This window comes from Homo sapiens, chromosome 10 (genome assembly GCF_000001405.40).
Source record: "Homo sapiens chromosome 10, GRCh38.p14 Primary Assembly".
NCBI lineage: Eukaryota > Metazoa > Chordata > Mammalia > Primates > Hominidae > Homo > Homo sapiens.
Window position 1 is genome coordinate 60923782 of NC_000010.11, and position 18783 is coordinate 60942564.

Below are 18783 nucleotides of genomic sequence, written 5' to 3' on the forward strand. Positions count from 1 at the left end.
ATGTTTTTGTAAAGAGTTTCTGCTTTCACTTGGATCTCATTTTTTTCCTTGTCTGCCTCTCACCTTCCACCATGATTGTGAGGCCTCCTCAGCCACATGGAACACGAGTCCATGAAACCTCATTTTCTCTATAAATTACCCAGTCTTGGGTATATCTTTATCAGCCATGTGAAAATGGATTAATATAGTATGTGTTCCTGAAGAACTGAGGAGCGGAGTGTGATTTAATAGAACAAAATGTTCCCACTACAAAAAAGAGGAAGGAGCAGGGAAAAGCAAGGAGGAGAAGAAGGAGGAGAAAAACAATGGAAGACTCCAAATCTGTGTATTTTTTTTCAGTAAAATGTTTACATATCAATGACAAACAAATTGTACAAGAATCCCATTGTATCTTATCAAAATGTCTTCCAAAACTAATGGACACAAACCCTCTCCATAAAGAAATAATGATACGAATGACTATAAATTTCACCAAGACACTATTTGAAGACGATTTTAAAAACATGTAACAGAGACTTAAGGATGGAAAAAGGTATTCCATGCAAATAAAACCCGCCAAAAAAGAGCAGAATTAGTTATATTTATATCAGATAAGATAGATTTCAAGACAAAAACTGTAAAAAGAGACAAAGAAGGTCATTATATAATGACAAAGGGGTCAATTAAGCAAGAGGATATAGCAGTCAACACTCGAGCATCCAGATATATAAGGCAAATATTATTAGAGCTAAAGAGAGAGAGAGAGAGACCCTGATATAGTAAGAGCCAGGGACTTCAGTATCCCACCTTCAGCATTGGAAAGATCATCTAGACAGAAAACCAAGAAAAAAACATCAGACTTAGTCTGCACTATAGACCAAATGGACCTAACAGACATTTACAGAACATTTCATCCAACAGTTGCAGAATACATATTCTTCTCCTTAGCTCATGAAACATTCCCAAGGATAGACCATATGTTAGGCCACAAAACAAGTCTCAAAAATTTTTAAAAAATTATATCCAGTATCTTTTCTGACCACAACGGAATAAAACTAGAAATCAATAACAAGAGGAACTTTGGAAACTTTATGAACACATGGAAATCAAACAATATGCTCTTAGATATAGTTTGGGTACTTTTCCCTGACCCAATCTCATGTTAAATTGTAATCCCCAATGTTAGAGTTGGGGCTTGGTGGCAAGTGTTTAGATGACGGGGATAGATCACTCATGAATGGCTTGAGCCATCCTCTTGGTGATAAGTGAACTCTTGCTCTCAGTTCACACAAGATCTGGTCATTTAAAACTGTGTGGCTCCTTCCCTACCCCATGCTCTCTCTCCCTATTGCTCCTCCTCTGGCCATGTGACATTCCTGCTCTCCTCTTACCTTCCACCATGATTATAAGCTTCCTGAGGTCTCTCCAGAAGCTGAGGAGATGCCAGCACCATGCTTCATGTAAAGACTGCAAAACCATGAGCCAATTAAATCTCTTTTCTTTATAAATTATTCAGTCTCAGGTATTTCTTTATAGCAATGCAAGAAAAGACTAATATGCTCCTGAATGAATGTTGAGTCATTGAAGAAAGTAAAAAGAAACCTTAAAAATTTATTGAAATAAATGAAAATACAAACACAACATTCCAAAACCTATGGAACACTGCACAAATGGTACTCAGAGGAAAGTTTATTGCAATAAATGCCTATATCGAAAAAGTAGAAAAACCTCAAATAAACAACCTTATAATATATCGTAAAGAACTAGAAAAGCAAGAGCAAACTAAACCCAAAATTAGTAGAAGAATTAATAAAGATCGGAGCAGAAATAAATGAAATTGAGATAAAAATAGAAAAAATCAACAAAATGAATTTTTTTGACAAGATAAGTAAAATGGACAAATCTTTAGCCAGACTAAGAAAAAAAAGAAGACCCGAATAAATAAAATCACATATAAAAAAGAGATGTTACAACTGATACTGCTGAAATTCAAAGAATCATTAGAGACCATTATGTATAACTATATGTCAATAAACTGGAAAACCTAGAAGAAATGGACAAATTCCTAGACATATACAGCCTACAAAGATAGAGCCATGAAGAAATACAAAATCTGAATAGACCAATAGCAAGTAACCAGATTGAAGCAGTAATAAAAAGTCTCCCATCAAATAAATGGCCAGGACATAGTTGGGCGTGGTGTCTCACACCCGTAATCCTAGCACTTTGTGGGGCCGAGGCGGGCAGATCACTTGAGGTCAGGAGCTCAAGACCAGCCGGACCAACATGGTGCACCCCGTCCCCCGTCTCTACTAAAAATACAAATATTAGCCAGGTGTGGTGGCACATGCTACTAATCTCAGCTACTCGGGAGGCTGAGGCAGGAGACTCACTTGAACCTGGGAGGCAAGGGTTGCAGTAAGCTGAGATCGCACAACTGCACTCCAGCCAGGGCAACAGAGCAACACTCTGTCCAAAATAAATAAATAAATAAATATGGACAAGACCTGATGGCTTCACTGCTAAACTCTACCAAACACTTAAAGAAGAATTAATAGCAATCCTACTCAAGCTATTTCAAAAAATCAAGAAGGAAGGAATACTTCCAAACTTATTCTATGAGACCAGTGTTATCCTGATACCACAAGCAGACAAAGACACAACAAAGAAAGAAAGCTATAGGCCAATATATCTAATACACATAGATGCAAAATTCCTCAATATAATGCTAGCAAATCAAATTCAACAACACACTAAAAAGATTATTCATCATGATCAAGTGAAATTCATCCCAGGGATGTAAGGATGGTTCAACATATGCAAATCAATAAATGTGACACATCATCTGAACAGAATGAAGGAAAAAAACAATATGATCATTTCAATAGATGCCAAAGCAGCATTCAATAAAATTCAACATCCTTCATGATAAAAATTCCCAAAAACCTGGGTATGGAAGGAACATATCTCAACACAATAAAAGCAATATACAACAGACTGGCAGCTAGTATCATACTGAATGAGGAAAAAGTGAAAGCCTTTTTTCTAAGATCTGGAAGAAGACTAGCATGCCCACTTTTACCACTTTTATTCAACATAATACTAGAAATTCTAGTCAGAGCAATTGGACATGAGAAAGAAATAAAGGACATTCAAATTGTAATGGAAGAAGTCAAATTATCCTTGGTTGCAGATGATATCTTATATTTAGGAGACACTAAAGATCCCACAAAAAACTATCAGAACTGATAAATAGTAAAGTTTCAGGATATGAAATCAGTATACTAAAATAAGTAGCATTGCTATATGCCAACAATGAACAATATGAAAAAGAAATCAAGAAAGTAATCCAATTTATCATAGCTACAAATAAAACAAAATGCCTAGGAATAAACTTAACCAAAGAAGTGAAAGTTACCTACAATGAAAGCTATAAGACATTAAGGACACAAAAAATGGAAAGATACTCCATGTTCATAGATGGGAAGATCGATATTGTTACAATGCCCATACCACCCAATGCAATCTACAGATTCAACTGACTCAAGTGTTAATCTCCTTTGGCAACACCCTTACAGACACACCCAGGATCAACACTTTGCATCCTTCAATCCAGTCAAGTTGACACTCAGTATTAACCATAACAGCTAACCTGAGCAAAAAGAATAGAGCTGGAGGCATCACATTATCTGACTTCAAATCATACTACAAAGCTATAGTAACCAAAAAAGCATGGGACAGTCATAAAAACAGACACACTGACCAATGGAAGAGAATAGAGAACCCAGAAAAAAATTCCCACATTTACAGCCAACTTATTTTTGACAAAGGTGCTGAGAACATACACTGGGGAAAAGGCAGTCTCTTCAATAAATGATGCTGGGAAAACTGGCTATCCATAAGCAGAAGAATGAAACTAGACACCTGTCTCATGCTGTATACAAAAATTAAATCAAAATAGATTAAATACTTATATCTAAGACCTCAAACGATGAAACGATTATAAGAAAATATTGAGGAAACACTCTAGGACATTGGGCTGGACAAAGATTTCCTGAGATCTCACAGCAAAAATGGACAAATGGGATTACATCAAGCACAGCAAAGGAAACGGTCAATAAAGTAAAGAGACAATCCACGGAATGGGAGAAAATATTTGCAAATTACCCATCTGACAAGGGATTAATAACCAGAATATATGAGCAGCTCAAACAACTCAACAGAAAAAAAATCCAATTTAAAAATGGCAAAGGAACTGCATAGATATTTCTCAGAAAAGGATGTACAAATAGCCAACACATATGAAAAAATGCTCAACATCATTCGTCATCAGAGAAATGCAAGTGAAAACTACAATAAGATATAATCTCACCGCAGTTAAAATGGCTTTTATGAAAAAGGCAATAATGATTGCTGGTGAGGATGTACAGAAAGGGGAACCCTTGCAAGCTGTTGCTGAGAATGCAAATTAGCACGGCCATTTTGGAAAACTATATGGATGTTCCTCAAAAACTAAAAATCAAACTATCTTATGAGCCAGTAATCCCACTGATGGGTATATATCCAAAACAAAAAAAAAAAGAAAATCAGTATATCAAAGCGATATCTGCATTCCCATGTTTACTGCAGCACTACTTACAATAACCAAGATATGGAATAAACCTGTGTCCATCAGCAGATGAATGGATAAGAAATCCTGTTGTTTGAAACAACATGGATGGAACTGGAGGATATTATGTTAAATAAAATAAACCAGGCACTAAAAGACAAATATTTCATGTTCTCACTCATATACAGGAGCTCCAAAAAATTTGAGCTCATGGAAGTAGAGAATATAATAGAATGGTGGTTAGCAGAGGCTGGAAAGGGTAGTGGAAAGGGGAGTAGAAAGGGGATGGTTAGTGGGTAAAAAATACAGTTACATAGAAGGAGTAAGATCTAGTGTTTGGTAGCACAATGGGGCAACTATAGTAAATTAACAATAATTTATTGTATAGTTAAAAATAACTAAGAGTGAAATTGGAATGTTTCTAACACAAAAAAATGATAAATGCTTGAGGTTATGGAAACCCCAATGTAGTAGTCTGTTCTCACATTGCTATAAAGAATTGAGAATGGGTAATTTATAAAGAAAAGAGGTGTAGCTGACTCACAGTTCTACAGGCAGTACAGGAAGCATGGCTTGGGAGGCCTCAGGAATCTTAAAATCATGGTGGAGGGTGAAGGGGAAGCAAGCATGTCTTCACATGGCAGCAGGAGAGAGATACCAAAGGGGTAAGTGCTATACACTTTTAAACAATCAGATCTCCTGAGAACTCCAATATGAGAATAGCAAGGGGGAAGTTTGCCCCCATGATTCAATCACCTCCCACCAGGCCCCTCCTTCAACATGTGGGGATTATAATTGGATATGAGATTTGGGTGGGGACACAGAACTAAACCATATCACCCAATTACCATGATTTGATTATTACACATTTTATGTTTGTAGCAAAATATCACATGTACCCCATAAATATGTACAACTAACATGCATCCATAATAATTGAAAATGAAAAATTAAAAAAACAGATTCTTGAAAGAAAAAGGACATAATAATACATTTCTGACTTGGGCCAAATTGATATTTATACGAAAGCAACATAAAGTTGTTCTTAGATATCAAAGACTCAGGTCAAAAACCCAAGTTCCCTTAAGGAAACTGCTCAAAGATACTAGCGAAAACACCTAGAGATAATTGAAAATTAAATACTAAAAACAAACAAACAAAAGGTACCCAGGCTTTAAAGAACTATGGAAACCAAAGCCAAAAAAATGTAAGATCATCCTACATAGTTATTTTGAATTTAGTTACAAAATGGTATAGAAAAATTATCTGCCAGAGATAATCTAGAAGGTTACAAAAGGCCAATTCATAATAGAAGTAACATGAACCTTCATAGACCAAAAAGCATATAATAAAATGAAGAAAACTTTTTAAGTATAAGGAGAAATTCACAACAATAACAAATATATGGAACAAAAAATCAGAATAAACCAATGTCAGATTAAGAAAGTGAAATAAACAACACATGGAGGATCTGAATAACAAATACTAAGGCTAAATTAATAAATATCCCACATTTTTTAAACCTACAAAAAGACAGCTTTCTTTCAAGTGTTCTTGGCACATTTAAAAAGCTGACCACATACTGGGCCATAAGGCCCCAAATCCCCCAAAGTGTAAATTGTTGTCAACCAAATTCTCTGGCTGCAAAGAAGTAAATGAAACAATTGAAAGGAAAAGCTCTATAATATGAACAAAAAAATCTCAACCCTTGGAAATTAAGAAAATACTTTCTAATATATCCATCTAAGGTAACAATTTTATAAATGGGAAATGTTTTAAAAGCAAATATATTTACCACATCTTTAAGAAAAAAAATGAAAACAACCTATGACAAGTGAGGGAATGATTAAGATACTTGCTAAGTGATTTTAGGCAAATTAATCTGTCGGAGCCTCTATATTCTTATCTGTGAACTGGGGATAATTATCTCCTTCCACGGATTGTTGTGAAGATTATATTAGATAATGCTTGTGAAATATTTCAATCTCTGTGCTTGGTATCAAGAGAACATCAGTAAGTCTTATCTATTAATATTGTCATAGAAGTTATGCTTATGATGAGTTTGCAATAATCCAGAGAAATGCTGCTATTATTGAGGGGAAAGTGTGGAATAGTAATGTGAAATACATTCGACTGAAACAACAGTAAATAAGTATGTGCAACCCAAATAAAATTGGGCCTCATGCATTCACATGAAGCACTGTCTTAGCAGAGTGACATAGCAGAAAGAAACACAAACTGATTCTTGGAAAGCTGTGAACCATGTAGCTGCTTATGAATAGAGAGGCATGGCTTACCTCACCTATTATGCACCTTACAGTGAACCTCCTAAAAAAGTCTCTTTGAAATGTTTCCCTCTGGAGTCTCACCTTTCATGGCAACTGCTCAAATCTGTCTTTCTGCCTCTCAGGACCTGGGATCTCTTCCCTTCAGGTTCTTCTTCATCCCTTCTTACAGGGCTAGCCATCATTCTCTGCTTGTCTTATTGGCATTCCCATCCATTATTCCCTCCGACAAATAAACGAATCTTTCTTGGGACCTGCCCTTTTTTAAGGGGGTTGGGTTGATTTTAATATGTGACTATTTAACATTTAATAACTGTATCTCTGTCATGTAACAGGAAGCAATATTGAAGTCTTCCCTCTGCAACAACAATACATGAAAAACAAAACAAACTGAAAGGAAATACACTAGAAAGCAACAGTAATTGTTGCTGGACAATGAGGCTATAACTTGTTCCTGCCATTTTCTACTTTTCTTTTGATTCCAAATTTTCTACAATGCACGTCTTATTTTTTTAAAAAAATGTGAGATAAAATCCACGTGCTACACATCTCATTCTTTTAAAGTATACAATTCAGTGGTGTTTATGATATTAACAGGGTTGTGCAACCATTCCTGCGATCTAATTCCAGAATATTTCCATTATCCCCCAAAGAAACCTTGTGCCCACTAGCAGTCATTCTTTATTCTCGTTCTCCCCAGCTCTGGCAACCACGAATCTACTTTCTGTCTCTACAGATTTTCCTATTCTGGACACTTCATATAAATGGAATCATGCAATATGTGGCCTATTGTGTCTGTCTTCTTTCACTTAGCATAGTATTTTCAATTTTCATCCATATTGTAGCACCTTTCACTACTCCATTACTTTTTATGGCTGAAAAATATTCTTAGACATATTACTTCTATAATGAGAAAGACGTTTTAGCTTTTTAAAAAACTAATGGGTATATTAAGTATAACCCTTGATTTTCACTTCTAAGAGTACACTTATACAACCCAATAATAATACATGATTTTTGATAACACATAAATTGTTTTTTCAAAACTATATGTATATATAAAGCATAGAGAGCCTGCTAAACCTGTTTCTTTCTCTGACTCAAGCTCTCACATAAAAAAAACCCCACAGGAATCAAAATGATGTTTTTCTGAGTATCAGACACAGAAATTGAACCATATAAAAAGACAGCTGTGGATATTCAGGACAAACACATACAATTCTACCTCAAACAGAAGATGAAAAATTCTTGGCTTTGAAATCTTGAGCATTCAAAAGGAATACTTATGGTAACTGAAATGAGCAATTTTAAAAAACTGGAAACAGGGCACATGAAATATTCTGTGGCAATCAATTGTAGTTAAAGATATTCTAAGCTTAGATCAATATAGCATAATTCAGTTTTACATTCATTAAGAAGAAAGTAGTTCCAGATTTGTTGGTATGCATGCCATGTATGTATTTGTGTACCTGGAAATCACAAACACATAAATATTGATGTACACTCAGTGCCCAAATTTAACATTGTAATCTTTACTTAGGCAGACGTCTACACATTTTCAGTGACAAGGGAGACACCTTGATGTAAGCTAACAGTAGCTAGCTCATATAAAGTAATGGTTCAGGCAAACATAGAATTCTGTAAATGAAGGACTTACCCTGGACATAAAATGTGAGGTGTTTCAAACACACTGAGGGTGGAGTGGGGTGGTGACCAGAAGTAGGGCACTGGTGGTGTACTGGTTCTTGATCTAGGTGCCAGTTACATAGATATGTTCAGTTTGCAAAAAGTCATCAAGCTGTACATTTGCGATCTGCATACATTTCTCTATGTGTTATACTTCAATACTTTCTTAAAGTAAAAAAAAAAAAAAAAAAAGACAGAAACAAGAAACCCTACACATGGATTTTGGAGGCCCTATCGTCCTCATGGGGGTGGGGCACATCTAAGGGCTGGATCGGGAAGCTTTGTCAAGAATTAATAATCAAAATATTGGTCAAGTCTTTAGAGATGGCAAAGATGTTCATGATACATCTTTAAATTAAAAAAGATTTAAAAATTTACAGAATAACACCACTCCTTAAAAATTATGTGCCTAAATACACACAAAAAGATTGAGATAGAGATATACTAAGCACTCATTTGAGAAAGCTAATATCAAGGCTGTAGACTATGGGTGTTTAAAAACCCATATTCATGAAGAAAAGTCTCCACTACCTTCTGTAGTAAGTTACTCACTGAAAGCATTCTCTAAAGATGTTACCGAGTTAGCTTCTGAAGCAGCAGCGTGACCACCTGCTGTGGTCTTCTGATACAATGACAATCAAGCAATTGTATGTAAACATTTATGAGACTATCATATGCTCGTTAGGACTAGGCTATGCTTTGATTCAGGCAAACAAGAAACTTTTTTCAGGTTTTCACAGCAACGTTAGACCATAAATGCAAAAGTGCTGGTGGAAAATTAACCAGACTTCTTAAGATCTCTTACTTTATTTGAAGTTATTGGCTAATAACAATGAATAGCTTCTAGCTAGTATTTTTCAGGGCATGTTCCTATACCTTCCAACTTTAGGTAGAAATTATTACATGAAAGATTGTACAATTTTAAAAAGCAGGATGAAGCACTGTTTGTGGAAGTGGAAAATGATACCAGTCTGGAGTGCGACTAGAAATTTTAAGGCAAAAGACTTTAAAATGTCATAACTTTCATCCAATTTTAAGGTTTTATTCCTGGAAAAATAATAAATGTATAGAAAAAGATTTCATTTAAAGAATGTTCATTGGCTGGGTGCGGTGGCTCACGCCTGTAATCCCAGCACTTTGGGAGGCTGAGGCAGGCAGATCACAAGGTCAGGAGTTCGAGACCAGCCTGGCCAACATAGTGAAACTTAGTCTCTACTAAAAATATAAAAATTAGCTGGGTGTGGTGGCACGTGCCTGTAGTCCAAGCTAGTCGGGAGGCTGAGGCAGGAGGCGGAGGTTGCAGTGAGCCGAGACCACGCCATTGCACTCCAGCCTAGGTGAGAGTGAGAATCCGTCAAAAAAGAAAAAAAAAAGGAATGTTCATCATCATATCACTATTTGTGGAAACAAAAATAACTTTAGAAGTCCAAACACAGGAGATGGATTAAAAAAAAACTAATATATGTCCATCAAAAATGTGTTATAGGAGTACACTCATTGTTATATTGAGATGTTCATGAACAATCTTTAAATTAAAAGAGATTTAAAAATTTACAGAATAACACCACTCCTTAAAACTTATGTGCCTAAATACACACAAAGAGATTGAGATATAGATATACTAAAATATTAATGCCAACAACTTTTTATAGGATAGGATTATAATTCATTTTAATTTTTTTCATTTTTCTCATCTATATATTCCATCTCTTCTATAGTGAACATGTGTTCTTTGTGACATAAAGAAATTTTACAAAAAAGAGGGCAAGGAGGTAGGAAAACAAGGAAATAAAATATCTTTGTGTGTGAGAAAACATTCTTCCTTCATTATGTGAAATTAACATCTACTCTTGACCTTCTCTCTGTGTACCTTAAGAACTTTATGTGAACTGCCTTTCATATGGTAGGGAACAGGCTTGCTGCTCCTGAAACCTTCTTTTCAGTCCTGAGCAGACGTCCCACTCATCAATATATCATCTTGGAGTTCCTGGTTATTCAGCTCCCTTTACTTATATCAAAGGAACTAATACCTCAATAGGCCCAACCACAAAACCTACATAGCCCCTCAGCATAGAACAATGCAACAAGGATACACCTGTTGAATGCTAGGTACAGGAACAAGACCATGGGAAAACATTCTCTAATCTTTCCAGATCAAGACATGAGACTTTGAGAGATTTCAGTAGTCATGTCAGAAGAGAGTCCCTGGTCTACTTCAAATAAATAGAGTTTAAAGAATATTAGAATCTGATATAACGGTTCATTGTTGACTTTTGTTTGATATACACAAAGGGAAACAAGTTCCTTTACTTGAAGCCTCTTTCCAGGAGCCTTAATGATCAGCTGCCAAATTTAGCCTTTGGCTCCATGTCCACTGTGTCTATTATTCTCCCATGCTTACTGAAGTGAGGCCAAATCTCATCCCTATTTAGAGAGAACAAATGCAGATATCTTGATGAAACGGAGAGCTGGTGAACGTGTATTGTAAAGAGCCAGGAGAACATACTTTAATGAATGGAAGCACATGGGCTTCATTGCTTATGTTTTAAAAGTACATTCACATGAAAGGATCAACAGCCGTGGGCATGTTATATGAGACATAGAGAGGAGGGGAAGATATAGAGAAGGCAGTCGAGATTGGCTGCTCATTAGACTCACTGGGGGATTTGTTTTGTTTTGCATACTGCTATCTGTACAAGAATGTTCTTGGCAGCACTATCCAAAACAGCCAACAACTGGAAACAACCCATCAACAGTAAAATGGATTAAAAATAATAAATTGAGGACTATTTATACAATGGAATATTATACACTACTAAAAATGAATGAACTACTGCTGCATACATTATGGATGAATCTCACAAACATAATATTGAAGCCAGGCACAAAAGAATACATAGGATATGATTTCATTTATATAAAGTCCAAAAGCAGGCAAAACTAATTTATGGTATTAGAAGTCAAGATAAGGGTTACATTGATTGGGTAGTGGCTGGATAGGGGCATGAGAAGGGCTTCTGGGTGCTGGTAATGTTCTGTTTCTGTATTTAGGTGCTGGTTATGTGAGTGTGTTCAATTTAGGAAAACTTTTTGTTATATACTGATAATTTTTTTTTAAATATAAGATATACTTCAATAAAAACGTTTTTAGTTCAGATTCCTGGGCCCTAATGTGGATCTACTAAAACTGTGGGCTCTAAGTTCTTTGAGGTATTTCAGTGTAAAGCAAGGTTGGGAATCACTACACCAGATGATCTATATGATCTGTGCAGAAGCCAGCCCCTACTAGCCCACAAGAACTAGTTGTTAAATTTTTAGGAATTTTGCAGGCCCATTAGTGCCAGTATTAAAAATTAAATTACATAAATTTACAATTAAATAAATTATACCAAAAACAAAGATAATAAGTACTCAAAATGCATCATTTTCTGGTTATTTCTATTTACTATTAACTATATTTTGAGGCTATTCATGCCAATTTTATCTATATGGTGAAAGTACAATATAATGGTGTGACACTGCATCATCTCTTTCCAACTCTGTGCTCAGCCACATCAGTAGCTTGAAATTGGCCATGGTGGGAATATTTACACCACAGAAATCAGCAGCCACTACCAATCAGTGCTTGCTTTATTGTTCTAGATCTAAGAAAATAATTTAACAGTGTTAATAATGGAGATTAAACTTTAAAGTGTGCTATATGTGTAGGTGTTACACTATGAATAGTACATTTGAAAAATATTCTTTCAGTATTAAAATTTATCATCTGGTTCAGCAAGGAAGTGATTCCCATCATGGATGAATGAGTAGAGTTCTGACGTACGTCTTTGATGTTTCACTTTTGTCTTACTGATTAACATAAAGGAAAATACCTGCCAGCATTTATATGGGAGCTGCACCCCTTAATCAACTGCAACATAGGTTGGCCTATGGATAGAAGAGTTCTGCAAAAAACAACAAAGGCATTCTGTGAGACCCAACTGGCTATATTGAATTTATAATATCAAGTATTATAGAGTTTATTATTATTTGTAAAGTGTGTACCACACATTCTTTATGTGATTAAAATTTATGTCAATTTGCGTATGCACATACATGCATTTTACTTTTTTCCAGGAGAGCTGGTTGATTTACCAGGTCATCACCGCCTACATCCCTCCTATATTTAAGATTCCATGACTCTATTATGATTTAAGAAACAAGCAAATAAAATAAGGCGGTCTGGTTATGGCCTATTAAGCATGAATTTCAGCGTAAGATATAGTAACCACTATTCTTTAGAACCTCATGACTCAAAGTGTGGTCCACAGAACAGCAGCACTGGCATCAATGGGGAACTTGTTAGAAATGCATAATCTCAGGCCCCATCCCAGAATTACTGAATCATAATCTGCACTTTAACAAGATGCCCATTTTTGTTGTATGCACATGAAAGCTTGAGCACAGCTCTAAAAGCAATTAATTCCTTGGTAAAAATAAAAACTTACATATAATCAATTTGAGATTAGTAGAAGGTTAAGGACAACATAGCAGTTGGTGAGTTCTCAGCACCTAGCCCCAGTTCAGCCACTTCATAGCACTGGGAAAGACATATACTTGCTACTTCTAAATTTGAAGAAGGACATCCATCTTGCAATATGCATTTACCAAATACTAAAAGTGAAATTGCACCACCAGGATAATATAGTCTATTCTAGGCCACTTGGATTATTACTAAAAAAGGAAGAACAGGTACAAGTATTTAAAAAAAATATCAAAGCAGTAGCTTTCTTCCGCGTATGTGATGAATTGGATGTGTTGGCAAGGACTCGGTTCCAAAAGTCCAAAGCAGGGCAGCAAGTGCCACATGAGAAAATGTGGCAGCTGGGGAGAGGAGTGCACAAAACACTTCCCAGTGATGTAATTTAGGCCAGGGTAGTTATCAAGTGCTGCAGATGAAATGGGGAAATTGTGGTGTTTATGCTTTTCCTATCAATATATCAGTCAGCAACACGTGACAAAAAGAAAAAACAGGAGCAGCATACCTCAAATACTCAATACTACAGTGAATTGAAATGAAGGTAGGAAAGTCTCATGTTTCAAAATTGAAAGCAAAAATTTTCTACTGGCAATAATATTCTCTGGAAATATTTCTTAGTTATCTGGCTGGAAATAGTGGCTTTGAGATACAAAGTTCCATGTAGAAAACACGTTAGCTACTTAGGAACAGTGTCTGGAAGAAAATGAGAGCCACAAATCTGCAAGAGAAGCTTGGTATTCGTTTGCAGCAGAAACTAAGGCAATAAAATAATTCAATGCAAGTAAACTTTGGCAACCTTAGAGTGTGAAGAAAACAAGTGTAATGGAGACTGGGCCACTGGAACCCAGAGAGACCACTCGGCCTGTTGTGTTCAAGAAAAAAAGGTTCCTATAACCATTCCTTAAAATATCAGAATTCAAATGACTCCAGTAAATTTAGAGACAAAAATGATACAACTGCCTAATATGTTAAAAGACTTTCTTTCGAGATACTCTAGGAAGGCTAAGAAGAGAGCTAACCCTTACTGAGCACCTACTATGTGCTTTACATGCATGAGGATTTTATAACATCCTCATAACCCTCTGAGGGGGGAGGGGATGCTGTTCCCATTTTACAGTTGAGGAAAGTAAGGTCATATTTCACCGAAGTTGCATAGTTAATGAAATGCCAGAGTTTGGTCAAAATGAAAAAGCATCGAACAGATCACTTAAGAAAGACAGCTTGGAAGGGTTTATGTAACAAAGACAGCTTAGAAGGGTGTTATGTTTTGAATAAGAGAAAAAGACTATTTTATCTCAGCACCACTGAAGATAAGTGAGGTTTCTCCTAGTACCCACCATATCTTTGCACGACTGGAATTCTCTTATCAGCATTTCTGGATGTACCTTGGGTTTCAGATGTATATCATACTTGCTAGTTGTATTTCAGGCTACATTGGAAGATTTAGAAGACTTGGCACTTTTCAGGCAGTGTTATGTAATGGAACTGGGCTCTGGCTGGGACTTGGAAGCCTGGGTTCAGTTCAGACTGTGTCACTTATTAACTATGAGAGTAGTCAAGTTACGTTGTTTCTCTGGGTGCCAGTGTTTTCCATCCACATGAGGTTGGGCTAAGGGTCCTTAATAAGGACATTCCTGGCTCCATGATTCAACTCTCTATGACTCAACTGTTTAAGATTGTGACAACTTCCATCAAAATACATTTAAAATGACCTAAGCAGTTAGCCAATTTATCCAGGCAAAAATGTTGTGTAGTTCAAATTTAAATACAAAATTTACAAAGTAGAAACAAACCCAGAAGAATAACTTCTATACTCCGACATCTGCAAGAGTAACCTGGAATGAAATGGTTTAAAGTGTTGTTTTTTTGGAGGGGGGGTTTGTTTAGAGCAAATATATATTCAAGTTCTTAGACAGCGTTGGGTGCAAATCCAAGCTCTGTTTCCTAGTAGTTCTTTAAAATCTCTGAGTTCCATTTCTTGCCTCTGTAAAATTGGAATTGATAATGAATATTAGCTGTAATTTAGTTAACGTGTTTGGCATCTAGTAGGGGCATAAATGCTAGTTTATTGTTATCACAGCAGTCATTAGGAGTTTGGTCTACAGTTGGGTACCAATTCAAAGGAAATTTCTCCACAGAGAGACGGAACCTGAGATCATAACCTCATTAACGCTGGGAACTTGCCATTAACCTGTGTCTATGCAATAAGTAAACTCAGGTGCAGAGTGGAGACATGTAATTGCTTTCTTCTAGACCTATTGGCATCGCTTTCTTTGTAAAACTTGCTAATTCGTTCTTTAGTGGATAAAGCCTGATCAGAGGCATGGTGATGTATTTGATGACAGAGCTCAAGAAAGTATCTGAAGACAGGAGTGTCCTGGGACATCTGGAAAAAGTGGCAGTCATACTCACACACACATCCATCATTTTTGGCGTCTTTTTGCCAATTTTCCAATTTCTGTCCTATGGGCACAAGAAACAAAAGGTGCCAGGAAGAGGAGGAAGTGGGTTCTATTTGTTTACAAACTAAAAATAAAAAAATTATGATGCTAACAAATAACTAATCTGTAAATATCCCATCCACTGGAGTGACTGCCTCTTGACCCTTCCCTTAAAAGCTTCCCCTTTCCTTTTCCTCTTCCCTGCTGCCCACACACTCGCCCATCTCCTACCCTTGTCTACACACACTTTTTGGAACTCATTTTTCCCTCCCTCTCCAAGTTTTGTTTTGGTGTTGTGATGTTGGTGGGAAGCCTGGCAGAGAAGAAAAGAGGAACAAAAGAACCACATTCAAATCACCTATGCTCTTTAAACCCTAAAACATGGAGCCAGAGGGAAACGTGAATGGCCTATTTTCTAAAAGGAAGACCAAGCGACAGTTTTAAACATTTCTCTGTTTTCTTGAGCAAAAAATGGCAGAATTTCAAATGTTTCCAGCCATTTTTAAAGAGGTAAGTCATGCATACTAACCAAAGCCTTATGAAGTTCAAAAGAGAAAACAAATGATTGCTAAATGATTATTATTAGAGATGCCATGCTAATTCCTAGATCTCTTTTGTTCATAACATTATATGATTCAAAGTATAATTTTAGTGCTTTATAGATTTATGGTTGCTTTATTGATATTTTTATTATATACCATTATCACAACTAATCATGTTGATGAGGTCTTGGCCTGTAATGGGATCTTCCCAATAATAATAGTGCTGTTATAGAATGTGACCTATTTTGTAATGATCCATTACATAACAACTTTTACAGGACAGACGTGTTATAGGACAGCTTATAATATCCCTTTAAATGCTTAAAAAATATCTTCACTAATTAAGATTTTAGAGCTATTAGCTTGAGTGGGGGTTATCAGCACATTAAAAAAGATGATATCCTAAGGTTTGCTTTAATAATTTGTTCCCCATTTCATTTTTTAGTACCCCTTTATATAAAATTAGCTAAGAAGGATTAACAACTGTTACAAATTACTCTACGAAAAGAAAGAGGGGAGAAGGGAAGTAGGGGAACAGAAGAGAGAGAAGCCTGTTAATTCAGGCAAAACCTGAAAAAGTCTTGCTTAATATTTGGTTGTTATCAGGACTTTGGTTAGGATTTATCTATTATGTATCCAAATCCATCTACGTGGTGCCTTTCAGACAAACTGAGGTTCCAGGAAAAATCCAGTACTTTTAAATGTCATGCCAAATTATGCTTTCTCAAAGATGCTGTGCAGATTCAAACAGCTCACAATTTTGGGTTACCATGCTTGTGAAGCAATAACATCTTTGAGTTTGAGATACTGCAATTTAGCGGTTCTGGATGACTACATAATCTCTCCCTGTTGGGTTGAAATTCTACATTCTGTCCTTTCCCAAACTCTCACCGATTAATCATCTATCCAGACAAAAAAAATGTGCTTGGAAATTTTTTTCATGCATATATGGAATTGCAAAGTAATTCCACAGAGTGGAAAATGCTGAACTTCTCATAAATGTACCATTGATCCCCAATTCAGCCTTCTGGCAAGTATAATCTTGATTTATTCTCTATTGTTGCATACCTGAATGTTTAACATCTTGCCTTTTAAATCTTCCATAAAATCTTCAAGGCCAGAGACCCCACAATAAAAACTTTCTTATATCTTTGACAGTGTCATGCCAGAAAGTACACATGAATACTTACAATTTCACTAATTTACTTAAGAGAATAGAATTTATTATTTTGCAACAACTGGGCCATTGTTATTATATGTGCTAGTAATTACCAAGCTATCTTAGACAAGTCACTTAACCTTCTTTGTCTTCAGTTTCCCTACTGGAAAACAATTTTTCAACTAGAGAGTTTAGGTCTTAGAGTAAGACAAAAACTTTTTAAAAAATCCTATTTGTGCCATTTAATAGAAGTAAGAATTGAACATATTATCTAATGTCTCTAAACTTCCAACTCCTCACCTATAGTTTGGGACTCAAGACAGTGGTTTCACCTCCCAGAGATTTTTTTTTTCTTTCTGAAGCAGAATAAGAATATTAACATAAAGAATGCAGCACATTACCTGAACCGTGATTCATGCTCAATAAGTCAATTATTACTATATCAAGTTTCTTCCAGCCCCAGAGTGCTAAGATTAGGATAGAAGTAAACCCTCAATTATCAAGCATCCAGATCCCCAGTATTCTCAACCACGGGCACCACTCTGATGCCTAAAGTGAAAAATAAAAAGTCGTATGATGGACAAACTGGTTTGAGGCCCATATTTGTACCATTGTACTCCCAGAGTAAGCAATAATTTTAATAATCATTGAACTTATGACATTCATAACTGAGTCCATAAAAAAGTCAAAGACAAAATTTTTAAAAGACAAATGATTAAGAAACCTGTTCTGAAATGCATGCTCAAAATTAGACACAGGATGTTACCAATCTATAGTCATGGGTTTGCACAAAGACACTGACCTGGCTTGCTGGAAGTGAAGAACAGAACACTCTGCTCACAGCTGGACTTACCTACATAAAAGAGAGAAATACTTTATAAATTCTACTGCCTGCCAGGAGTACATGGGGAGCCACTAAAATTTTCAACATACGTTGTTTTCTCTTTTTCCCCCGAGAAAGGGAAGAATCTGCTTTACTTTTGCTAAGTGCCAGTGTTAATGTGGCATTTCTTTGGGTCAAATACATCCTGAAATAGCTAGGTTAACATTTTGCAGGATTTGTGAAAATATATTTTTGAGCTCTTGGGACGATACCAAAAAAACAAACAAAACAAAACAAAACCCTAAAAACATTTGGCCACAAACCGATAGATAACAATGAAAATCTTACAGGCATTTTACAATACAGAACTCATAGATGTGGTCATCCTATTCAAAATAGCATTTTTAGACAATATAATCATAATTAAAAGACCAAACAATTTTGGCTTTTCCTGTTGTATTTGTATAGCTTATAATTTGTATTATTGAGCCAATAACATCAAACTGTTACATGTGTTTCTATTTCCACCTGTGTGATCACAGAGCCTGTGTTATGCACTTAAAAAATTTTACACTATCTTCAAACTCTGGGAAAACAATCATGGGCAAAATTAGTATATTGACTATGATATTCCTGCTTCCTAATGATTTTCCAAAGCCTTCTGCACTAGGATCAACTGGTTAAACCTTTTTCCCATTAATATGTCCAAATATGATTCAGGAATCTCAGAGGAAACCATG

At 35.9% G+C, this 18783-nt stretch overlaps 1 protein-coding gene across 55 annotated transcripts in view; it reads right to left on the reverse strand.

The window, feature by feature from the left end:
- RHOBTB1 (Rho related BTB domain containing 1) overlaps positions 1 to 18783 on the reverse strand; it is a 141108-nt gene that overhangs the window by 62922 nt on the left and 59403 nt on the right. For 28 of the 55 annotated variants that reach the window (XR_007062022.1, XR_007062020.1, XR_007062021.1 and 25 more), the window contains one exon: positions 18023 to 18073. The exons of 8 other annotated variants lie outside the window; for them this stretch is intronic. The gene's annotated coding sequence lies outside the window, so the exon portion shown is untranslated. Of the gene's footprint in view, positions 1 to 6957; positions 8732 to 12431; positions 12504 to 17520; positions 17577 to 18022; positions 18074 to 18783 lie in introns of those variants that run through there. 19 more of the 55 variants (XM_024448270.2, XM_047426088.1, XM_047426082.1 and 16 more) reach the window with 6 other exon arrangements.